The sequence below is a fragment of the Homo sapiens genome, chromosome 1, assembly GCF_000001405.40.
Source record: "Homo sapiens chromosome 1, GRCh38.p14 Primary Assembly".
NCBI classification, from domain to species: domain Eukaryota; kingdom Metazoa; phylum Chordata; class Mammalia; order Primates; family Hominidae; genus Homo; species Homo sapiens.
This window is the reverse complement of record NC_000001.11, coordinates 185,571,242-185,597,707: the sequence shown is the minus strand read 5'-3', so window position 1 is coordinate 185,597,707 and position 26,466 is coordinate 185,571,242. Positions and strand designations below refer to the sequence as shown.

The following is a 26,466-nucleotide window of genomic DNA, read 5'->3' as shown; positions in this document are numbered from 1 at the left end:
AATGATCTACAGGAATTATTTTTTGCCAAAGTTATTATTGCTTTTTAATGCTGAAAACCAAAACAAAGAAAGCAGGTGAAATAAAACGATAAGGTTTCAGTTATTACGGATAATAACAAAGGATTATTTCTAGGAAATGAATATTTGAGACAGATGAGCCAATTTGATAAGTAGCATTTCAATGTTCCTTTTTTATGAAAAATTTGTAGTAAAAACTCCTTCCACACCAGTCAAGGTGCTTATTTCACAAATTCTCTGGAGAAATATGGGAGTTGATACAAAGGAACTAAAGTACTTAACTGAAGCATTGTCATTAATTAAGAGGAATTGGCCGAAAGTCACACTTTTGCACTAAACAGGTCTTCCAAGCAAATGTATCTTTTAATATAGTACACATGAAAAAAATTATACCTAAGTCTGTGTCTCCTGAGGCACTTAAAAGTAGTATTGGGGACTCCAACAATTATTTTTAATGTTCCAAAATATCAAATGAAAATCACAGTTTTATCTTCGTTAGAATTGCTTGGGATGACTAAAACATCTGTTGCTTGTGGTTGGAATTCAGTCAGCTTGGTGCTTAAACAATGTGTAACTTTTAAGAATATTTTTATTTATAAATACTGAGAAATGATTTATAACATATTGTTTGTGGTTTAAGCAACAAAAATATTTCACGCTATGGGGTAGGGGAAAATAAAAAGGTCTCTGGGTAGAGCTCTGGGTGGTTCCTGCTCAACTTCAACAGCAAATGAAAACCTATAGCAGAAGCTGGGAGGAAAGATATATGTGATTCTCCAAACCCCAGGGGATTTGCAATCAATCACCAAGGAAATGGTAGAAAAGTAGAGATTTTCCCTGGAGTTCACAGATCTGGGATGGCAGGACCCCTTAGGAGCTGAAACCAACCTGTATAATGACCCTCAGTCTCCTTTTCATGAATGTGTATCATAGTTTCCAACAGCTTGAAGGCCAACAGTGAGATCTTACAAATTTTTGTTCTTTTTCAACAATTTTTAAATTAAATAAAATATATATGTGTATATGTCTGTATGTGTGAAAATATCTATCTCTATATAGAGATAGATATAAATATATCTCCAATCAGTGACTGGCATGGCATAAAACTTACAAAAAGATTTCTTCCATGTTTCTGCTTTAGCAAAATAATTCATTTTGATTACTCTCAAAAGAGTTAATGAGTTAATAAAATAATTTTTCTGCAAAGACTTTGAAAGTAATGTATTGCATGTTGAAGGGCAGAAATAAGAGAGTCAAATGCTACCCAAAGCAAGACCATGTCACCCTTCATATCCAGCTATCAATATCCACCTTCTCCATTGTTCTTATTTTTTACCCCTCATATCTTTATTACGTGATACTGGGTCTAGGACTCTGCAAATCAGCTTAACCTGCTGACTCCCTGTCAGCTTCTACCAATAGTGGCCGCTAGAGGGAGGTTAAATGGCAGACTCTTTGCTTTCTTCCTCTTCCTATCATCACCTGAGCAATAATAGCTCTGCATCCTGGGATGGGCAGTTGGCTTCAGTCTCCTCTTTTATTTTAGTATTCTAAGAACTAACCTGAATGTGCCCTCTTAGAGGTACAGGTACCAGCACTAGCTGGGAAGTCTTCCCAGCTCTTCTGAGCTCCTGAGGTACCAGCACGTGCTGGGCAGCAACCAGGCCTGCACCTCCTGTCCTCCACTCCCTGACACATAAGGTTCTGCATTATAGCTCTCTGAGCTGTGAAGATAGGACTTTGTGAGAGACTGGAAGTGAGAGAGAGAGGCAATGCAGACAAAGCTTAAGATTCTGATCTGGAGAGGCAGCAGCTTCTTATAGTCACTCTCTCTTTGTGACCTCAGCATCCCTTCTTTGGGTTTTTATTTCTCCAGTCCTGTTTAACCAACTTCTCATATTAAATTCTCACTGTTGAAATGCCCAATGCAGTTTCTGTTTTCCTGACCAGACTCTTATCGATATACCATATACCCAGAAAACACTTTCTTTTATTGTTTAAAAGAATCAGATGAACCAGCATCCACGTAGACTAAATCATTAATGAGTATAAATAAGCTCCTTAATGTATAGTTACAAGATACTGGGAAAATGACAGACCTAAAATCCAACCTGGCTCCTTTGGAGCTCTCTCTCTTCTCATTCAGCCATCATGCTCCAGCCACACTGGCTGTCTCTGAGGTCCTCAGATTATCCACACTTCCCTCCAGCTCAAAGTCCCCACACATGGTCTTCTCTTTGCCAAGAATACACTTCCTGACATTCAACTTGTTCACACCTATTCCTTTTTAAGATCTAAATTCATTTACCACTTCCTCAGGGGAACCTCCCCAAGACTTTCAGGGAGACACAGACATTTTTATGGCACCCTGTACTTCTGAAAAGATTAGTATTTAAATAAATAATTGGCTAATTAGTTATTAAATCCTAGAATGTAAATTCCCCTGGGGCAAAAACAATTTCTTGCTGTGCTTTAATTGACTCCCTTGCCCTCTGGCTCCCTGCTGGATTTGGCAGAGCAGAAACTATTTCTGTAGACTATTAGCTGTTTCATAACTGTTTCACCAGTTCCTTTAACTACATAGTAGTTAAATTACAAGTGTATAAAATATATTAATTATTGAACACTAACTATGTGCCAGGCATTGTACTAAACACACTGCATGTATTATTTCATTTAATCTTCCCAACAACTCTAAAAGATAGGTACTATGACTACACTGAACAGAGAAGGAGCCTAAGGCACAGCGATGGGAAGTGGCTTGAACAAGGTCGTACAGCTCACAAGTGATGGAGATAGGATTTCAGCCACTCTTACTCCAAGCCTATAAACGAGTGATGGTCTCATTGGGAAAACAAAGCTGATAGTCTCATTGGGAAAACAAAGCTTATACTTCACAGACAGGCAGCATAGGCTAAGTTTGAAAAAGCTAATGCAGACATTCTGTGTTACCAGAGCACAGAGAAAGGGCAAATCTCCAAGGCCAGGGTGATAAGAAAAGTTTCACAGAGTGGCTGGAATTTCAGCTGGACCTTGAAGGTAGGGCTGTACTAGATAAGGAGAAAGAAGGAAGGACATTTAATGCAGAGTAAACAGCCCAATAAAATGTCCTTCAACCCCTTCACCTTCAGGTGACCTTTAAAAGCAAAGAAAGCAATCTGGAAAATATTTAAATGTGTGTGTGTGTGTGTGTGTGTGTGTGTGTGTGTGTGTGTGTGTGTATGTGTTTTAAGGGCTAAGTTTCCTTTTTAAAAGGACTCCCTTTTCAACAGCCAAATAAGCACAGTTACCAATTTATTATAAAGCACTTCTAATCTGAAAGGGACAATCACAAAGAACCGCAAAACAGAGGGATATATGCCAAGGTACAGCTGAGCAAGTGGCAGGCTGCATCAGAGGGCACCAGGACATGATACCTACCATTGGCCACTGCAGATAAGGTGGAACAAAGCCACAGAAAAACTGGCAGAGCAGCATTTGTGCTGCAGAGCTAGGCAGGAAATTTGTCTTCCAAAACTGACACGGGGCTGGGACTCAGGATTCCTGAGCATTCTTAGGATAAAGCCCTGAATAAAAAGAAGGAATCAGGATTTAACTGACAAAATTATTCAAAGGCAGAGCCAAAATAACTTGCTTATAGAAATGGGTTAGGAAGTAGAGTTGTTACTATTAGCAAAGCATAGATGGAAATAGATTATGTTGAAGGATGGGCTTATAGAAAGTGACAAAGTTTAAGGCAGGACCAAAAGACACCTGGATCCAGCCTGATTTCCACCTTCACTTAGGAATAGTAGAAATTTCCTCATTAGCATGGTCCTTTATGGGTCCAGGCTCAAATAAACCAACCTAGGGTTTTCTTCTAGTAAGCCACCTTGATTTTGATATTTATTCCTTTACAAATGATAAAATTTGTCCTACCTTGGAGGAAAACTCATTATCTATTTTTGCATGGTTTTAAAATTTTTTTAATTTAGTTTTACTATTTTATATTAAGTTTAAAGAAACATAATTTCATTTTGATATTTTGTTAAAAAATTCTCCCAGACATTGGTATATGAAATATGATGTATGTACATAGTTCTATAAAAATGAAATTATACATTATATGTTGTTTTTTAAACTCCTTTTTCCACTCAGCAATATGTTTGGACGTCTCTCTATGACAGTAAACACATTTCTTCATCACTTACCATCTATTTTCAGAATGGGAAAATTGAAGCCCAGGGGACTAAAATGACTAATCAAAGCTCCAAAGGAAATCATTTAGAAAAAGCATTCATTAAACATCCATTTTTATGTAACACTACACAAAAAAAGTTAAAACCCATGTAGACCTTAATCAGCATGTATTTACTGTATAAGATAAACACAGAAGACCCACAAAAATTATAAAGCCTAGAAAAATCAGATACCTAAAAATACTCTTAAAGAGGTTTATGGTTTATAGAGCAGTTTTGGAGAAATCATTTGATTTTTCAAAACAATCCAGTGAATTAGCTAAATCTGTTTTTATTAATAAATAACATTGATAAGTGTCTTCCTGTCTATTATATAATTTCTACTTATAAAAATTCCTCATTCCTCTGCTCCCCACTCACAACAAACCTTATTAAGTAATTATTCAAAACATGCTATTTCTACTTCCTTATTCAAATATTCATCCTCCAACCTACCCCAATCTGGATTCCAACCTTATTACTTGACTGACTTCCACTTAGCTAAATCCAATAGCAAATTAGACTTTTCTGTCCTTATCTTTCTAAACCTTTCAGCAGGGTGCATTATCACCTTCTTCTGAAATCTTTCTCTTTCTTCTCTTGGTGTCCATGACACTACTTTCTCCTGGTTTATCTTCAGAATTACCAGCTGCTTTTTCTTACTTTCTTTTTCTAAATTCTACCCAATCTCTCAGTGTTTGAGTGCCTCTGGAATTTTTTCTGCTTTTCTCTATCTGTACTTTTGTCTAGTTATCTCCTCCAATCCAATGGCTTTAAAGGACACCCATATGCTGGTGACTACCAACGTTGTGTATCTAGCTTTAACCAATCTACAACCCAAGCTCCAGACTCATATTTCTGACAGCTGACTGAACAACTCCATTTGAATATCTAATAGAATCTCAAATTTACCAGATCTAAAATATCCTCTCCAACAATAAAATCTGTGTTTCTCTAGTTTTCATCAACACATTTAAAAAATTTTTTTTATTATACTTTAAGTTCTAGGGTACATGTGTACAATGTGCAGGTTTGTTACATATGTGTACATGTGCCATGTTGGTTTGCTGCACCCATCAACTCGTCATTTACATCAGGTACTTCTCCTAATACTATCCTTCCCCCAGTCCCCTACTGATGTTTCCCACCCTGTGTCCAAGGGTTCTATTGTTCAATTCCCACATATGAGTGTGAACATGTGGTGTTCAGTTTTCTGTCCTTGTGATAGTTTGCTGAGAATGATGGTTTCCAGCTTCATCCATGTCCCTGCAAAGGACATGAACTAATCCTTTTTTATGGCTGCATAGTATTCGATGGTATATATGTGCCACATTTTCTTAATCCAGTCTATCATTGATGGATATTTGGGTTGGTTCCAAGTCTTTGCTATTGTGAATAGTGCTGCAATAATCATACGTGTTCATGTGTCTTTATAGTAGCATGATTTATAATCCTTTGGGTATAAACTCAGTAATGGGATCACTGGGTCAAATGGTATTTCTAGTTCTAGATCCTTGAGAAATCGCCACACTGTCTCCCACAATGGTTGAACTAGTTTACACTCCCACCAACAGTGTAAAAGTGTTCCTATTTCTCCACATCCTCTCCAGCATCTGTTGTTTCTGACTTTTTAATGATCTCCATTCTAACTGGTATGAGATGGTATCTCATTGTGGTTTTGCATTTCTCTGATGACCAGTGATGATGAGCATTTTTTCATGTTTCTGTTGGCTGCATAAATGTCTTCTTTTAAGAAGTATCTGTTCATATCTTTGCCCACTTTTTGATGCGGTTTTGTCTTTTAAATTTAAGTTCTTAAGTTCTTTGTAGATTCTGGATGTTAGTCCTTTGTCAGACAGGCAGAGTGCAAAAATTTTCTCCCATTCTGTAGGTTGCCTGTTCACTCTGATGGTAGTTTCTTTTGCTGTGCAGAAGCTCTTTAGTTTACTTAGATCCAATTTGTCTATTTTGGCTTTTGTTGCCCTTGCTTTTGGTGTTTTAGTTATGAAGTCTTTGCCCATGCCTATGTCCTGAATGGTATTGCCTAGGTTTTCTTCTAGGGTTTTTATGGTTTTAGGTCTAACATTTAAGTCTTTAATCCATCTTGAATTAATTTTTGTATAAGGCGTAAAGAAGGAATCCAGTTTCAGCTTTCTACATATGGCTAGCCAGTTTTCCCAGCACCATTTATTAAATATGGAATCCCTTTCCCATTTCTTATTTCTGTCAAGTTTGTCAAAGATCACATGGTTGTAGATGTGTGGTGTTATTTCTGAGGCCTCTGTTCTGTTCCATTGTCTATATCGCTGTTTTGGTACCAGCACCATGCTGTTTTAGCTACTGTAGCCAAGTCAGGTAGCGTGATGCCTCCAGCTTTGTTCTTTTGCCTTAGGATGGTCTTGGCTATGCGGGCACTTTTTTGGTTCCATATGAACTTTAAAGTATTTTTTTCCAATTCTGTGAAGAAAGTCATTGGTAGTTTGATGGGGATGGCATTGAATCTATAAATTACCTTGGGCAGTATGGCCATTTTTATGATATTGATTCCTCCTATCCATGAGCATGGAATGTTCTTCCATTTGTTTGTGTCCTCTTTCACTTCATTGAGCAGTGGTTTGTAGTTCTCCTTGAAGAGGTCCTTCACATCCCTTGTAATTGGATTCCTAGATATTTTATTCTCTTTGAAGCAATTGTGAATGGGAGTTCACTCATGATTTGGCACTCTGTTTGTCTGTTATTGGTATATAGGAATGCTTGTGATTTTTACACATTTATTTTTTATCCTGAGACTTTGCTGAAGTTGCTTATCAGCTTAAGGAGATTTTGGGCTGAGATGATGGGGTTTTCTAAATATACAATCATGTCATCTGCAAACAGGGACAATTTGACTACCTCTTTTCCTAATTGAATATGCTTTATTTCTTTCTCTCACCTGATTGCCCTGGCCAGAACTTCCAACACTATGTTGAATAGGAGTGGTGAGAGAGGGCATCCTTGTCTTGTACGAGTTTTCAAAGGGAATGCTTCCAGTTGTTGCTCATTCAGTATGATATTGGCTGTGGGTCTGTCATAAATAGCTCTTATTATTTTGAGATATGTTCCATGTATACCTAGTTTATTGGGAGTTTTTAGCATGAAGGGCTGTAGAATTTTGTCGAAGGCCTTTTCTGCACCTATTATCATGTGGTTTTTGTCATTGGTTCTATTTATGTGATGGATTACGTTTATTGATTTGCATGTGTTGAACCAGCCTTGCATCCCAGGGATGAAGCTGACTTGATCGTAATGGATAAGCTTTTTGATGTACTGCTGGATTTGGTTTGCCAGTATTTTATTGAGGATTTTCCCATTGATGTTCATTAGGGATATTGGTCTAAAATTCTCTTTTTTTGTTGTGTCTCTGCCTGGCTTTGGTATCAGGATTATGCTGGCCTCATAAAATGAGTTAGGGAGGATTCTCTCTTTTTCTATTGATTGGAATAGTTTCAGAAAGAATGGTACCAGCTCCTCTTTGTACCTCTGGTAGAATTCGGTTGTGAATCCATCTGGTTCTGGACTTTTTTTGGTTGGTAGGCTATTAATTATTGCCTCAATTTCAGAACCTGTTATTGGTCTATTCAGAGATTCAACTTCTTCCTGGTTTAGTCTCCGGAGGATGTATGTCTCCAGGAATTTATCCATTTCTTCTAGATTTTCTAGTTTATTTGCATAGAGGTGTTTATAATATTCTCTGATTGTAGTTTGTATTTCTGTGGGATTGGTGGTGATATCCCCTTTATCATTTTTTATTGCATCTATTTGATTCTTCTCTCTTTTGTTCTTTATTAGTCTTGCTGGAGGTCTATCGATTTTGTTGATCTTTTCAAAAAACCAGCTCCTGGATTCATTGATTTTTGTGAAGGGTTTTTCGTGTCTCTATCTCATTCAGTTCTGCTCTGATCTTAGTTATTTCTTGCTTTCTGCTAGCTTTTGAATTCGTTTGCTCTTGCTTCTCTAGTTCTTTTAATTGTGACGTTACGGTGTAGATTTTAGATCTTTCCTGCTTTCTCTTGTGGGCATTTAGTGCTGTAAATTTCCCTTTACCCACGGCTTTAAATGTGTCCCAGAGATTCTCGTACATTGTGTCTTTGTTCTCATTGGTTTCAAAGAACATCTTTATTTCTGCCTTCATTTCGTTATTTACCCAGTAATCATTCAGGAGTAGGTTGTTCAGTTTCTATGTAGTTGTGCGCTTTTCAGTGAGTTTCTTAACCCTGAGTTCTAATTTGATTGCACTGTGTTCTGAGAGATAGTTTGTGGTGATTTCTCTTCTTTTACTTTTGCCGAGGAGTGCTTCACTTCCAACTATGTGGTCAATTTTAGAATAAGTGCGATGTGGTGCTGATAAGAATGTATATTTTGTTGATTTGGGGTGGAGTGTTCTCTAGATGTCTATTAGGTCCACTTGGTGCAGAGCTGAGTTCAAGTCCTGGATATCCTTGTTAACTCTCTCATTGATCTAATACTGACAGTGGGATGTTAAAGTGTCCCATTATTATTGTGCGGGAGTCTAAGTCTCTTTGTAGGTCTCTAAAGACTTGTTTTATGAATCTGGGTGCTCGTGTATTGGTTGCATATATATTTAGGATAGTTAGCTCTTCTCGTTGACTTGATCCCTTTACCATTATGTAATGGCCTTCTTTGTTTCTTTTGATCTTTGTTGGATTAAAGTCTGTTTTATCAGATACTAGGATTGCAACCCCTGCTTTTTTTTGCCTTCCATTTGCTTGGGAGATCTTCCTCCATCCCTTTATTTTGAGCCTATGTGTGTCTCTGCACATGAGATGGGTCTCCTGAATACAGCACACTGATGGTTCTTGACTCTTTATCCAATTTGCCAGTCTGTGTCTTTTAATTGGAGCATTTAGCCCATTTACATTTAAGGTTAATATTGTTATGTGTGAATTTGATCCTGTCATTATGATGTTAGCTGGTTATTTTGCCCATAATTGATGCAGTTTCTTCCTAGCATCAATGGTCTTTACAATTTGGTATGTTTTTGCAGTGGTTGGTACCAGTTGTTGCTTTCCATGTTTAGTGCTTCCTTCAGGATCTCTTGTAAGGCAGGCCTGGTGGTGACAAAATCTCTCAACATTTGCTTGTCTGTAAAGGATTTTATTTCTCCTTCACTTATGAAGCTTAGTTTGGCTGGATATGAAATTCTGGGTTGAAAATTCTTTTCTTTAAGAATGTTGAATATAGGTTCCCAATCTCTTCTGCCATGTAGGGTTTCTGCTGAGAGATCCGCCATTAGTCTGATGGGCTTCCCTGTGTGGGTAACCCAACCTTTCTTTCTGACTGCCCTTAACATTTTTTCCTTCATTTCAACCTTGGTGAATCTGACAATTATGTGTCTTGGGGTTGCTCTTCTCGAGGAGTCCCTTTGTGGTGCTCTCTCTATTTCCTGAATTTCAATGTTGGCCTGCCTTGCTAGGTTGGGGAAGTTCTCCTGGATAATATCCTAAAGAGTGTTTTTCAACTTGGTTCCATTCTCCCCGTCACTTTCAGGTACACCAATCAAACGTAGATTTGGTCTTTTCTCATAGTCCCATATTTCTTGGAGGCTTTGTTCATTCTTTTTTACTCTTTTTTCTCTAATCTTGTCTTCTTGCTTTATTTCATTAATTTGATCTTCAATTACTGATATCCTTTCTTTCACTTGATCAAATTGGCTATTGAAGCTTGCGTGTGCCTCATGAAGTTCTCGTGCCATGGTTTTCAACTCCGTCAGGTCATTTAAGGTCTTCTATACACATTTATTCTGGTTAGCCATTCATCTAACCATTTTTCAAGGTTTTTAGCTTCAATGGGTTAGAACGTGCTCCTTTAGCTCAGAGAAGTTTGTTATTACCAACCTTCGGAGGCCTACTTCTGTCAACTCGTCAAAGTCATTCTCCATCCAGCTTTGTTCCTTTGCTGGCGAGGAGCTGCAATCCTTTGTAGGAGAAGAGGTACTCTGGTTTTTAGAATTTTCACCTTTTTTGCTCTGGTTTTTACCCATCTTTGTGGTTTTATCTACCTTTGGTCTTTGATGTTGGTGACCTACAGATGGGGTTTTCGTGTGGATGTCCTTTTTGTTGGTGTTGATGCTATTCCTTTCTGTTTGTTAGTTTTCCTTCTAACAGTCAGGAACCTCAGCTGCAGGTCTGTTGGAGTTTGCTGGAGGTCCACTCCAGACCCTGTTGTCCTGGGTATCACCAGCAGAGGCTGCAGAACAGCAATATTACAGAACAGCAAATATTGCTGCCTGATCCTTCCTCTGGAAGCTTCATCCCAGAGGGGCACCTGCCTGTATGAGGTGTCTTTTGGCTCCTACTGAGAGGTGTCTCCCAGTTAGGCTACATGGGAGTCAGGGACCCACTTGAGGAGGCAGTCTGTCCATTATCAGAGGTCAAACCATGCTGGGAGAACCACTGCTCTCTTCAGAGCTGTCAGACAGGGACATTTAAGTCTGCAGAAGTTGTCTGCTGCCTTTCATTCAGCTATGCCCTGCCCACAGAGGTGGAGTCTATAGAGGCAGTAGGCCTTGCTGAGCTGCGGTGGGTTCCACCCAGTTCAAGCTTCCCAGCCACTTTGTTTACCTACTCAAGCCTCAGCAATGGTGGACGCCCCTTGCAGGGCTGCACCCTCGTAGATTGATCTCAGACTGCTGTGCTAGCAGTGAGCAAGACTCTGTGGGTGTGGGACTTGCCAAGTCTGGCATGGGAGAGAATCTCCTAGTCTGCTCGTTGCTAAGACTGTGGGAAAAGCACAGTATTTGAGCCAGAGTATACCGATTTTCCAGGTACAGTCTGTCACGGCTTCCCTTCGCCAGGAAAGGAAAATCCCCTGACCCCTTGTGCTTCCCAGGTGAGGCGATGCCCCACTCTGCTTTGGCTCACCCTCTGTGGGCTCCACTCACTGTCCAACCAGTCCCAATGAGATGAACCAGGTACCTCAGTTGGAAATGCAGAAATCACCCATCCTCTGCATCGATCACGCTGGGAGCTGCAGACTGGAGCTGTTTCTATTCAGCCATCTTGGAACAGATTCTCTTTCATCAACACATTTTATCACCATTTATTCCACTGCTCAAACCCCAAACCTAGAAAGCACTTATATTCTCCCCTTTCCATCACTCCCTCATACCTAATCTCTCCATGTCTTGGAGAAATTGTAATTTCTTCCAGTTTTCACATCTGTCCTCCTGTTTCTGTGTAGGGGATCAGTCAAGGTGGTGGGAAAAATTATAAAGTTATAAGAAATAGACACAAACCTTCTTGGAAGGCCAGGAGGTTTGCATAGCTTCAGTAAAAGATTTGGCTGAAGGCAGCCTAATCCTCTTTATCTTGAGTTGATAGCAGAAGAGCAAATAACAAAGGAATGTGGGGGAGCTTACCTAAATAGCTTGTTTACTTATATGGTTCTAAGACTGACCTTTGATCTTCCACGGGTGCATGACTGCTCTCTCCGGGGGAGGGCGACCAGATTAATTATCCACAGGTGTGTTGACTCAAAGTCTTTGTCATCAAATCTGTGCTGAACAAATGCCCACAGGGCCAGCTAGTTGGGGCACACGGCTGCTACAACTTTTTTCTGTGTACAGCCCAGCCCCCAGCCGCTCTTTCACTGAATATCAGTGTCTGAGTATGTTATTCTTCCATCGTGCAGCCTACGTCTGCGGGTCAGACCCTGGCAGGTGGTGCCCCATGTGAGGAAAACTACAAAGGATCATAATGGAACCCTCAAAAATAGGGGTGAAAAGGACGGCACAGTCAGTGAGTCAGTAAGTCATTGGTGCCCGCTTGGGATTTCCAAGTTGTGGGGGCATTGTTCAGGCTAGGGTTTCACCATGGGACAACAGTTATCAGCTCAACAGAAACAGTATATAAAAGTATTGAAAGAGCTTCTTAAAAGCTAGTGGAGTCTCGGTTTCTCAGGCTCAATTAAGGGACGTAATGCGAACTGTTGTATTCCATAACCCATGGTTCCTGGAAAAAGGTACACTAGATGTAGAGCTCTGGGAACAAGTGGGGAGAAATCTTAAACAACACCATGTGCAAGGGTAACAGGTCCCAGTAACAGCTTTAATGCTACAGGCTTTAGTCAGAGTGGCTGTGGTCTCATTATACACAGAAGAGCCTAAAATGGGGAAGGAGGAGGAACTGTCACTTACCTTACCACCTCTTTGTCCCTCAGCCCCACTATCACTGGGGCCAAAATAACAAAGAGGAAATGGAGGTCTTGGCTGAGCCTCCTCCTCTAATTGATAGGAAAAAAGACAAGGGATATGCTACAGCTATGGGACCCCATCTTAGGCAAGCAACATTAGAAGGGGAGCTCTTAGCCTGTCCAGTAATGCAAGATCAACAAGGCAATCAGGTATAAAAACACATTTCTTTTAACGTTTATAAAAAGATAAGAAAAGGCATTAGAGGCTGGAGCTGCATGGCTAAGTGGGCAATGGGTGGAAGTAAAGGCTCAGCAGCCGGGAAGCTTGTGGTGCCCCGGGCCGACAGGGTCCTCCCGGCCGGCAGCAGCCACACAGCGGTGGGGGAAGGGAGCAGCACAGACAAAAAGTGGCACAGACAAAAAGCGGTGCCTAGGAAAATGCAATGTGGCCACTGCCCCGGGATCCATGCCACTGCTCTTTGGCTCTGTGGGCATCCCACAGCAAAATTCATGTGTTCCTTGTATACAAGCAACATCCCAGATTATAATTCTCTGCTAAAATATAAGTAAAACTTAAGAATTTAAAAGACCTCTTTCTAATAATGGCCACTGTTATGTATCTCCTACCCCTAACGTGGCTCTCTCAAAATCCAATTTAAGTAGAACAGTAACCTTTAAAGGGGGAGAAATTACAAGGAGGCCAAGAATTAGTTGAGGAGCAATTAAAAACAGGTCATATAGAATCATCAAACAGCCCTTGGAATTTGCCCATTTTCATCATTCCCAAAAAGTCTGGTATATGGAGACTTTTGCATGACTTACATGCTATTAATGCTAATTTACAACCTATGGGGCCCCTTCAACAGGGCCTTCCCTCCTCCACAGCAATTCCTCAAGATTGGCCTATAATTGTTATTAATTTAAAAGACTGCTTTTATACTATTTCACTTGCAAAGCAGGACAGAGAAAAATTTGTGTTTACAATACCAGCTATCAATAATGAAACGCCAGCTTGCCAATTTCATTAGCAAGTGCTTCCTCAAGGAACGCTGAATAGTCCTACCATGTGCAGGTATCAAGTAAATCAAGCTTTGCTCCCCAGTAGAAAAGAATTTCCTGATTGCAAGGTTATTCATTTTATAGATGATATTTTACTACCAGCCCCAACAGAGCAAATGTTTTTAAGTCTATATACCTCTGTCGTAAAAAATACACAGTTAAGATGTTTAATCATAGCACCTGAAAAAGTACAGATGTCTTCTCCTTGGAAATTTCTTGGATACATACTAACTTCCTGGTCAGTAAGACCTCAAAAGTTTAAATTAAATACTAGCAACTTATACACCTTAAATGATTATCAGAAATTGCTAGGCGATATTAACTGGCTTCACCCCACCTTGGACATGTCTACAGATAAGTTGCAAAACCTGTTTTCTATCTTAAAGGGCAATACAGCCCTGGATTCTCCCAGGTATTTAACCCCTGCAGCAAAAAGGGAAATTGAAAAAACAGAACAAGCTATCTCTCAAAGGCAACTAGATTGCATTGATCCATGGTATTCAATTCAATTGTTAATTTTTCCCACTAAACACTCTCCTACAGGGTTAATAGGACAGATGACTCCAGGACTGCGCTTTCTAAAATGGGTTTTTTTGCTCACATACTGGAACTAAAACACTTTCTCCCTACATCCAGTTAATCAGTAAAGTAATCTATTCAGGCCACAGACAATGCAATCAGTTGCTAGGTTATGATCCTGATATCATCAGGATTCCTTTAAGTAAGAAGCAATTCAAAGCAGTATTGCCCTTATTGATGGACTTGCAAATAGACATCTCTGATTACACAGGCCAAATAGAGAATACCCTTCCTGCTGATAAACTCCTTCAGTTCTTGTCTCGTACTCCTGTGATTTTACCTACAAAAATAGTTCACTACCCCATACCTAATGCTTTAATGCTGTTTACTAATGGTTCAGGTAAACATGGAAAAGCAGCTGTCTGGTGGAGACCACATAATTCCCTCACTCGATCTGGGTTTACTAGCACTCAAAGAGCTAAGGTGGACCCTTAATTAATATTAGCTTTGGAGACTTTTTCCACTCAGTGCATCAATATTGTGAGTGACTCTGCTTACTCTGTTTATTTATTCCAAAACCTTGAAACAGCACTAATTAAGTCCACTCTGGAGCCCACCCTGTGTGCTCTTTTTCTCCAGCTTCAGCAATTGCTAGATCAATGTTCACATCCTATTTTTATCACACATATTCAACCCCTCAGCTCACTGTCTGGCCCATTAGCTTATGGCAATGATCAAGCAGATCTTCAGGTTATGACATCACTGCTTGACCAAGCCACCCAATCACATCAATTCTTCCACCAAAATTGGAGAAACTTATCTGAACAATTTCCACTTACCAGAGACTAGCTAAATAAATTATCCTGCAATGCCCAAATTGCCAGCTCACAGGCACATCCCCTCCTTCTACAGATGTTAGCCCTAGAGGACTAGAACCTAATCAGTTATGGCAAACAGATGTTACACACATCCCTGAATTTGGAAAATTAGATACGTACATGTATCCGTTGATACCAATTCTCACTTAATTAGTGTATATGCCCTTCCTGGAGAGTCCACCCATATGTCATTAAACATATTCTTTTCACTTTTGCATTTATGGGGTGGCCCACAAAAATTAAAGCTAATAATAGTCCAGCTTATGCCAGCTCACAATTTCAACAATTTTGTCACATGTGGAATGTCCAACATTCCACAGGCATCCCGTATAACCCCCAAAGGCAGGCCATAGTAGAATGTACCCACTCCACCCTTAAAAATATGCTCAAAAAACAAAAAATGGGGAGTATGAGTAAGGACCCTGCAACACTATTAGCACAAGCCTTATTTACCCTTAATTTTTTAAATTTAGATGATAACTTTCAATCATCTATAGAAAAGCACTTTGCTAAAACCTCTCAAGACATAAAACCCTCAGTTTTATGGAAAGATGTAAACAGTCATGCATGGTGTGATCCAAAAGAATTGCTAATGTGGGAAAGAGGATATGCTTGTGTTCACACCCCCTCACATCCTCTTTGGATTCCAGCATGACACATCAAACTTTACCATAGTGTGGCTAGGACCCAACCCAGTACCAAAAATAAAGAAAATGTCCCTGCAGGACCTAGAGCTCCAGATGATGCAGCTTCCTTGGGTGGCACAAGCCCCAGACAGAATCCTGAAGAAGACAACTCAGACTGAGCGAATCCTGCTCCAGACACAAACACCATTCACTGCAGATAATTTGTTCCTTTCTATACTTTATTAACATTTTTATTCTCTCACTTTGCCTGCTACCTGTACCTACAACACTCTATTAAGCCCATCTTCTAAATCCATCTTTTCTCAGCCCAGTTACTTAGGCGAACACCCCCTTCCCAGCTTCTAACAACATGACTGCTTGGCTAAGAGGAATTAATATACCCCCAGTGGGGTTCCTCAGTAACAACCATGTGAAAAGATATGCAAAAACATCTCTCCTGGATAGACCCTGACTCCTGGGGGTCACTCCTTGGTTGGAAAAGAATGTTGCTAATTATACTCATGTTTGTCTTATGTTATTTGCTAATTCTAGAATGCAAAGCCCGAATAAGAGCAATGACCACCTCGCCTAACAGACCTGTTGCTGCACACAACTGTACTCTTCAAACAACCAAGCCTGATGCAAAAAAAAAAAAAAAATACAGAAAAGAGGGAGATGTAGGGGATCAGTCAAGTCAAGGTGGTGGGAAAAATTATGAAGTTATAGGAAATAGACACAAACCTTCTTAGAAGGCCGGGAGGTTTGCATAGCTTCAGTAAAAGATATGGCTGAAGGCAGCCTAATCCTCTTTACCTTGAGCTGATAGCAGAAGAGCAAATAACAAGGGAATGTGGGGAGTTTATCTAAATAGCTTGTTTACTTATGTGGTCCTAAGACTGACCTTTGATCTTCCACAGGTGCATGACTGCTCTCTCTGGGGGAGGGCGACCAGATTAATTACCCACAAGTGTGTTGACTCAAAGCCTTTGTCATTAAATCTGTGCTGAATAAATGCCCACAGGGCCAGCTAGTCAGGGCACATGGCTGCCACAAATCTTTCTGTGCACGGCCAGGCTCCCTAGCTGCTCTTTCACTGAATATCAGTGTCTGAGTATGTTATTCATCCATCATGATGAATAACATGATGAAAAAAAAAGAGGTTATTTGAAACTAATAAGAACAAAGAGACAATGTACCAGAATCTGTAGGATACAGCTAAAGCAGTGTTAAGAGGGAAATTTATAGCACCAAATGCCCACATCGAAAAGCTAGAAAGATCTCAAATCAACAAACTAACATTACAACCAAAAGAACTAGAGAACCAAGCACAAACTCCAAAGCTAGCAGAAGACAAGGAATAACCAAGGTCAGAGCAGAAGTGTAGGAGACAGAGACCAAAAGTCCTTCAAAAATCAATGAATCCAGGAACTGTTTTTTTGAAAAAAAATTAATAAAATAGATAAATTGCTAGCTAGACTAATAAAGAAGAAAAGAGAAGAATCAAATGACACAATCAGAAATGATAAGGGGGATATCACCACTGACCCCACAAAAATAAAAACAACAATTAGAGAATACTATAAACACTTCTATGCACATAAACTAGAAAATTTAGAAGAAATGTATAAATTCCTGGATGCATACACCCTCCCAAGCCTTAACCAGGGAGAAACTGAATTCCTGAATGGACCGATAACAAGTTCTAAAATTGAAGCAGTAATAAATAGCTTACCAACCAAGAAAAGCTCAGGACCAGATGGATTTACAGTTGAATTCTACCAGAGGTGCAAAGAAGAGTTGCTACCATTTGTACAGAAACTATTCCAAACAATTGAAAAGGAGGGACTCCTCCCTACCTCATTCTATGAGAAAAGCATCATCCTGATACCAAAACCTGGCAGAGATACAACAATGACAAAAACACTTCAGACCAATATCCCTGATGAACATCAATGCAAAAATCCTCAATAAAATACTGGCAAACCAAATCCAGCAGCACATTGAAAAGCTTATCCACTACAATCAAGTTGGCTTCATCCCCAGGATGTAAGGTCGGTTCAACATACACAAATTAATAAATGTGATTCATCACATAAATATAACTAAAGACAAAAACCACATGATTATCTCAACAGACACAGAAAAGCCTTCGATAAACTTCAACTTCCTTTCTTGTTAAAAATTCTCAATAAACTAGGTATTGAAGGAACATACCTGAAAATAATAAAAGCCATGTATGACAAACCCACAGCCAATATCATACTGAATAGGCAAAATCTGGAATCAGTCCTCTTGAAGCCTGGCACAAGACAAGGATGCCCTCTTTCAACTACTCCTATTCAACATAGTATTGGAAGTTCTGGCCAGGACAATAATACAAGAGAAAGAAATAAAGGGTATTCAAATAGGAAGATAGGAAGTCAAATTACCTTTGTTTGCAGATGACATGATCCTATATCTAGAAAACCCCATAATCTCAGCCCAAAAGCCTCTTAAGCTGATAAGCAACTTCAGCAAAGTCTCAGGATACAAAATCAATGTGCAAAAATTGCTAGTGTTCCTATCCACCAACAACAGGCAAGCAGAGAGCCAAATCATGAATGAATTCCCATTCACAATTGCTACAAAGACAATAAAATGCCTAGGAATACAACTAACAAGGGAAGTGAAGAACCTCTTCAAGGAGAACTACAAACCACTGTTCAAGGAAATCAGAGAGGACACAAACAAATGGAAAAACATTCCATGCTCATGGATAGGAAGAATCAATATCATGAAAATGGCCACACTGCCCAAAGTAATTAATAGATTCAATAATATTCCCATTAAACTGCCATTGATGTCCTTCACAGAATTAGAGAAAACTATTTTAAAATTCATCTGAAACCAAAAAAAGCCTGAATAGCCAAGAAAATCCTAAGCAAAAAGAACAAAGCTGAAGGCATCATCCACCTGACTTCAAACTGTACTATAAGGCTTCAGTAACCAAAACAGAAGGTGCTGGTACAAAAACAGACACATAGACCAATGGAACAGAATAGAGAACTCAGAAATAAGACTGCACACCTACAACCATATGATCTTTGACAAATCTGACAAAAACAAGCGATGAGGAAAGGATTCCCTATTTAATAAATGGTGCTAGGAGAGCTGGCTAGCCACATACAGAAAATTAAAACTAGACCCCTTCCTTACATTTTATACAAAGATTAACTCTATCGGGGGAACCCACCCCCAATATTTCATCATAGGTTCTTTCTATTTTCCTTAAGTGTTGGCCAGCTGAGAAATAAAGAGAAAGAATACAAAGAGAGGAATTTTACAGCTGGGCCTCCAGGGGTAACATCACATATCAGTAGGACCATGATGCCCACCTGACCTTAAAGCCAGCAAGTTTTATTAAGGATTTCAAAAGGGGAGGGGGTGCAAGAACAAGGAGTAGGTCACAAGATCACATGCTTCAAAGGGCAAAAAGGAGAACAAAGATCACATGCTTCTGAGGAAACAGGACAAGGGCAAATCCAGAACTGCTGATAAGGGTCTATGTTCAGCTGTGCACATATCATCTTGATAAACAACTTAAACAACAGAAAACAGGGTTTGAGAGTAGAGAGCTGGTCTGACCTCAAATTTACTAGGGTGGGGTATTTTCCCCACCCTAATAAGCCTGAGGGTACTGCAGAAGACTAGGGCGTATTTCAGTCCTTATCTCAACCGCATAAGACAGACACTCCCAGAGCAGCTATTTATAGACCTCCCCTGAGGAATGCATTCCTTTCCCAGGGTCTTAATTATTAATATTCCTTGCTAGGAAAAGAATGTAGCAATATCTTCCCTACTTGCACATCATTTATACGCTTTCTGCAAGAAGAAAAACATGGCTCTATTCTGCCTCACCCCACAGGCAGTCAGACCTTATGGTTGTCTTCCCTTGTTCCCTGAAAAGCACTGTTATTCTGTTCTTTTTCAAGGTGCACTGATTTCATATTGTTCAAATACACATGTTTTACAATCAATTTGTACATTTAACACAAGAGTGGTCCTGAGGTGATGTACATTCTCAGTTTATGAAGATAACAGGAATAAGAGATTAAAGACAGGCATAAGAACTTATAAAAGTATTAATTTTGGAATTGATAAATGTCCATATTAAAATGAAATCTTCACAATTTATGTTCAGAGATTGAAGTAAAGACAGGCATAAGAAATTATGAAAGTATTATTTGAGAACTGGTAAATGTCCATGAAATCTTCACAATTTATGTTCAGAGATTGAAATAAAGACAGGTGTAAGAAATTATAAAAGTATTATTTGGGAACTGATATATGTCCATTTTAAAATGAAATCTTCACAATTTATGTTCCTCTGCCGCGGCTCCAGCCGGTCCCTCCGTTCAGGGTCCCTGACTTCCTGCAACATAACTAAAGACAGATTAAAGACTTATATCTAAAACCCAAAAGTATAAAATCCCAGAAGAAAATCTAGGCAATTCCATTCAGGACATAGGCATGGGCAAAGACTGCATGACAAAAATGCCCAAAGCAATTGCAACAAAAGCAAAAATTGACAAACGAGATCTAATTAAACAAAAGAGCTTCTGCACAGCAAAAGAAACTATCATCAGAGTGAACAGACCACCTACAGAATGGGAGAAAATTTTTGCAATCTATCTATCTGACAAAGGTCTGATATCCAGAGTCTACAAGGAACTTAAACAAATTTACAAGAAACAAATGAACAACCCCATTAAAAAGTGGGCAAAGGACATGAACAGACAATTCTCAAAAGAATAAATTCATGTGGCCAAGAAATGCATGAAAAAAGCTCAACATCACTGATTATTAGATAAATGCAAATCAAAAATGCAATGAGATACCATCTCACACCAGTCAGAATGGCGATTATTAAAAAGTCAAGAAACAACAGATGCTGGTGAGGTTGTGGAGAAAAAGGAATGCTTTTACACTGTTGGTGGGAGTGTAAATTAGGTTAATCATTGTGGAAGACAGTGTGGCAATTCCTCAAAGACCTAGAGGCAACAATACTGTTTGACCCAGCAATCTCATTACTGGGTATATACCCAAAGGAATATAAATCATTCTACTATAAAGACACATGCATGCATATGTTCATTGCAGCACTATTCACAATAGCAAAGACATGGAGTCAACCCAAATGCCCATCAATGATAGATTGGATAAAGAAAATGTAGTACATACACCATGGGATATGATGCAGCCATCAGAAGGAATAAAATCATGTTCTTTGCAGGGACATGGATGGAGCTGGAAGCTGCTATCCTTAGCAAACTAACACAGGAACAGAAAATGAAACACTGAATGTTCTTACTTATAAGTGGGAGCTGAATGATGAGAACACATGGACACATGGTGGTGAACAACACACACTGGGGCCTGTTGGTGGGGGTGCAGGGGGAGGGAGAACATCAGCAAGAATAGCTAATGGATGCTGGGCTTAATACCTAGGTAATGGGTTTATTTGTGCAGCAAACCACATGGCACATGTTTACCTGTGTAACAAACCTGCACATCCTGCACATGTACCCCAGAACTTAAAAGTTGAAGAAAAAAAAAAGAAAATGTGATACATATATGTCATGGAATACTACTCAGCCATAGAAAAGAATAAAATGGTTTTTTGCAGCAACACAGTTGGAGCTGGAGGCCATTATCCTAAGTGAAATAACTCAAACAGAAAATCAGATACCACATGTTCTTACTTATAAGTGGAAGCTAAACGATGGATACACATGGGTACAAAGAAACAGAAAAATGTGAACCATATTTGAAAGAAAAGGCAATCAACAGAGACTACAGATCCAGATGTTAAAATTAGCAGACAAGGATTTTAAAGTCACTATTATAACTATGCACAATATAGCAAAGGAAAATATCTTTATTATAAATAAAAGACCAGGAAAATTTGACAGAGTAACATAAACTATAACAAAGAACAAAAATAAATTCTAGAGCTAAAACACAAAACTGAAATTAAAAAAATATATATATCCCTTGGTGAGATTAACAGCAGATTGGAGATGATAGAAGAATGTAAATTTGAAGGTAGATTAATAGATTATCCAAACTGAAGAACAGAGAGAAAAAAGATTCAACAAAATGACAGAGCCTTAGGGACCTGTGGGACAATATGAAAAATTCTCACAAAGTGTCACTGGAGTTCACAAAGGAGAGGAGTAAAACAGCCTGGATCATACTTGAGTGTGTGTATTTGTCAAACTCACTGAATGGTATATGTAAATCTGTGCATTTACAATCATCATTCTCAGTAAACTATCGCAAGGACAAAAAACCAAACACCGCATGTTCTCACTCATAGATGGGAATTGAACAATGAGAACACATGGACACAGGAAGGGGAACATCACACTCTGGGGACTGTTGTGGGGTGGGGGGAGGGGGGAGGGATAGCATTAGGAGATATACCTAATGCTAAATGACGAGTTAATGGGTGCGGCACACCAGCATGGCACATGTATACATATGTAACTAACCTGCACATTATGCACATGTACCCTAAAACTTAAAGTATAATAATAATTAAAAAAGAAAAAAAAACACAATATGTATGTTTGATGACAGAAGAAAAAAAGAGAAATCATAAAAAACATGGATCCCTAGTAAATTGTACTCATGTTGAAGTGTTTAGAAGTGAACTGTATTGATGCCTGCATTTACTTTGAAATTCATTAAAAAATAAGGTGGATTGATAGAGAGATAAGTAGAGGGATACATTTGTGGCAAAGCAAGAATAGTAAAAGGTTGATTGCAGAATCTTGGTGATAGGTACATGGTCTAATACTATGATTATTTCAATATTTCTATATTATGAAAAATTTAAAAATATCATGATGGAAAACTGTAAATTGAGTAATACATTTGTAGTGTTTTTTGTCCAAAACTTGCCTCAAATAAACAATCCATGAAAATTTGCTTACAAGTCTATAAAGAGTTTCTATAAGGCTGGGCGTGGTGGTTTACGGCTGTAATCCCAAGACTTCGGGAGGCCGAGGCGGGTGGATCACCTGAGGTCAGGAGTTCAAGACCAGCCTGGCCAACATGGCAAAACCCTGTCTCTAGAAAAATACAAAAATCAGCCGGGCAGGATAGCAGGCACCTGTAGTCCCAGCTACTTGGGAGGCTGAGGCAGGAGAATCACTTGAACCCAGGAGGTGGGGGTTGCAGTGAGCCGAGATCACACCACTGCACTCCAGCCTAGGTGACAAAGCGAAGTTCCATCTCAAAAAAAAAAAAAAAAGTTTCTATGCATTAACTATTATTATTTAAGACACTTTTATTTTTCTTGGACAACTGCAATAGTCTCCTAGCTAGTCTCTCTCTTGTCACTTTCTCTCTAATTCATGATCTCCATTCAACAGCTAGAATGATATTATGAAAATGTAAATCTGGATCTGTTGTTTCCTTTGCTTAAAATGCATGAATGGCTTCTCTTGCTCTTAGAATAAAACTTAATCTCTTCACAGCCTGGGGTTCCTGTTACTTGGCCCACCACACCCTTTCACACTTGCAGGCTTTGCACTTGCCTGGAATGTTCTTCCCCCAGCTTCTTACTGGCTGACTAATTACCATTCTTTAGCTCTATCTCATCATCCTTTTTTTTATTTCTTTCATGGCATTTATCACAGTTTGTAATTATCCGGTGTTTCTGTATTTCCTTATTGTCTCTCTTCCGAACTAGAGTTTCGTAAAGGTAAAGATTTTTCATTCTCGATCACTGTTGTCTTCCTAGAGCCCAAAATGTAGTGGGCCCTGAATAGACATTAAGTATCTTCCTCATACTGTATCAAAGTTAATAAATTACAGAGCTGACCTTCAAACTCAACTGTTCTGTGGGTTCTTTCACATACAAAATGAGTAGGGAGAAATTAGACTGCAAGATTTCTACCCTTCTGGAGTTTTTAGTCTAGAAAAGTTAGAATACAGAACCAGAGTAAGAACTGGTTCCAAGCTCCAGAAAACCCCAACATTTCATTCTCCCACTATGTCTTTCCTTGAGGATCCATGCTCATCATCAGTTACGACTTATCATGTCCTCTTATCTCCCACACAGAGTCTGTCACTAAACCCTGTGTTATTCTACTTCCTATGTGTATCTCTGTTCTGCACTACTACTGTACCATACCAGGCTTTGCCATTTGTCAAGGCTACCACAACCAGTGGTCACCTTTCCTCCATGTTGCCTCTATTCTCTATGCTGCATTCGATGTAATCCTTGTGAAACACAAATCTTGCTATGTCATTTCCCCACTCCAAACCATATAACTTCCCTAGAATGCAGTCCAGTCTCATTAACATATCTCTCAAGGATCCTTGGGAGGCACCTTCCTCTCAATGCCTCCTTCCGTCTGGAAGCCCATCTCCTGTTACTCTTCTCCCTGAATTTCAACATTTCAGTTCCCCACATGCTCTCTCCCTCTAAAGTATTTCTTCTGCCCAGAACACTACTCCACTAGCTTCTTTGGCTGACTTCCTCCCACTTTGCCTTCCTTCCCCTCCACCTCTTTACCTTCTATGACTCTATATTATTGCACACATACATTTAGGAAAATCTCTTGGCATCTTGGAACCTCACTTTCTTCATCTACAAAATGGAGATAATAGTGGCTATCTCAATGGATTTCTATGCTGCAGAGTACTTACCACGGTGCTTAGCTCAATGGCATGATTGTCAAGTTTTCCCCTCTGCCAGTGTTTTCTTTTTTTCTTGAAGACTGTCCCACTCCTGACTATAATTGGAGATTTCAGCTAAATGCATAAGGACACAACTCACTGAGCACCAGGCACTCATTTGCATTGGGAGAAGGAGGGGAGCAATCAAGAATAAAAGAAAATTCACAAAGCTATGCTAAATGTGGTACTGCAAATGATGAGGTTGATCGGGCCTTTAAGACGTTTCATTTTACAGTCTGAGATTGCAATAACAAGTGTGTACCAAGTTTCATGCTAAACCCTTATCCATGAACTCACCATTCTGCCATTTTGATGGAAGGCTAGACATGTTCCAAATAGAGGAGTGAACTACAGCCCATTTCTGATTAATGAAAGACAGCTGATCTGATCTGGAACTCCTCTGGGGGTTCTCCAAGGCCACATTTCTGTTACATGCACCATTTTAATGTCAGCTTCTCTGCTTCAGAGCTGAGCCTGAAAAGGAGCCATAAATTACTTTTGATCATGCATATGCTGTAAGCTGGCTGGAGGAGATGGGATGCCAATCTGCCTCTTTTTTGGGGGAGCATGGGGAGACCAGATGTAACCCAAAGCATCCTGAGATTCTATTTTTAATCATCAGCTTTTATTTGTCTTCTCATTGCTCTTCCCAGGTTCCCCTTTATCCTCCAGATTATAGCTGAGGAATAGGTAGTGCTGCTAAAGAGGTTTGGGCCTGGATAGAATGAGGGCAGCAGGGACATAACTGTAATTAAGGACTCAGCTTCTACCTGGACCCTGATTTATTTATTCATCCAATCAAGAAGGCATTTCATAAGTACCTACTGTCTTCCCACTTATCCAGAAAGCACTAAACTCAAGAAAACTTTCTTTTATTGGAATAATTTCCAGCCATAGCTGTGTTTCAAAATTTCCTGTGGAGTTTGAAGAAAATGCATATTCTTGGGCCCAACTCTCCAAAGATCCTGATTTGGTATTTCTAGTGGGGTTCTTAGCACTCGTATTCAAATGTACAGCACAATTCCTTCCATTTCATTACCATCTGCCTATCATGAATGTTTTCCTCAAGCCTCACTCTCTCTGGTTGTGATGTCTTTTCATATTAATTAGCTAATTAGGCAAACTAAGTCAGGACCTCTCTTCTACAAGAAATATCCATCCATTTGACAAACACATACAAGGCCTGAGCCAGGTGCTCTGTGTAGACCACATAAAGATGAGCCGTCCCGGCCCTGCCTCAATGTTTTAACAATGGTATTCTAGAGACAATCGTGTGCATGTAGAGTACGCTAGAAGGGATTTTCAGACCAAGTTAAACTAGTGATTTCAGGAAGATTTACAAAGTCAGGCAGTTTAGCTGCCACTTAATCTGACCCAGGGTAGAGCTGGCTTTCACCACGGTCTTGTGATTCAAGGGTCTCAGAGGATTTTTTCCTACTCCCTTTGGAAGTTCTAGAAGCCTGGAACCTGAGCTTCTGTTTAAGCCCAGAAATATGAACATGAGGACAGAACATGACCTTAGGAGACTCCCGGAGAATCTGAAAAACAGATCAGCAACTCCCACATAATCAGGAGTTAGCAGAAAGCGTTGGATAAGTTTAGAAAGATGATTAGTTCATGTCTGACTTCAATGTTCTGCATAATTTTCATTATACAGTTTGAGTTTGAGATTATCCATGTCAAAATTTTTTCTTAGTAAGTCTGGAGTTGGTCATATTTCATCATTTAAAACATGCAATTCTATATTATCCACCTCTAGAATGAACTACTTACTGAGGAAAAAAAAAATCTATGTGATCTTGAGCCCAAGAGGTCTAAGTAAGTATGGGATCTAAGCCTTCCATGAACATAAGGTTTGAAGGTGATATTTTCTCAAGGGCAGTTTCATTCCTACGGAAACAGAAAATCAGCAGAGATGCCAAGTTTGGTATGCAGAGGGTGAACAATAAATGACAGTAGAATTTAACTTAATTCTAAATGAAAAGGAAAAGATGGAGGAGAATTTCCAAAGAGTATAGGCACTTAAATGATCTCAAGACTTGGAAAGGAATATCCAAACAAATGCCTGTTCGACTAAATGGAACGTTTAAATGAGTTGAAGAGAGTTTGAAAACATGTTTTTTTGCTTTGTTTTCCATAGTACTCCATCCCACCTCCAGTCATTCCAAGGCAGTAATGGAATAACTTGATAAAGTAAGCAAGCCTTGCATCACTGGAAAAGAACACATT

At 39.4% G+C, this 26,466-nt stretch overlaps 2 long non-coding RNA genes across 2 annotated transcripts in view, besides 1 other annotated feature; one reads left to right on the top strand and one right to left on the bottom strand.

The window, feature by feature from the left end:
• The window catches only part of LOC107985239 (uncharacterized), a 202,893-nt gene that overhangs the window by 83,198 nt on the left and 93,229 nt on the right, over positions 1 to 26,466 (bottom strand). The window lies entirely within an intron of this gene.
• LINC01350 (long intergenic non-protein coding RNA 1350) overlaps positions 1 to 26,466 on the top strand; it is a 70,110-nt gene that overhangs the window by 30,781 nt on the left and 12,863 nt on the right. The gene's annotated exons all lie outside the window — the stretch shown is intronic.
• Positions 11,018 to 12,217: an enhancer, noted in NCBI's record as "CDK7 strongly-dependent group 2 enhancer chr1:185554623-185555822 (GRCh37/hg19 assembly coordinates)". NCBI's record gives its function as "activates an origin of replication core promoter dependent on BRD2, BRD4, P300/CBP, MED14 and CDK7 cofactors, with strong dependence on CDK7, by STARR-seq in HCT116 cells {active_cell/tissue: HCT116}" and the evidence as "EXISTENCE:reporter gene assay evidence [ECO:0000049][PMID:35650434]".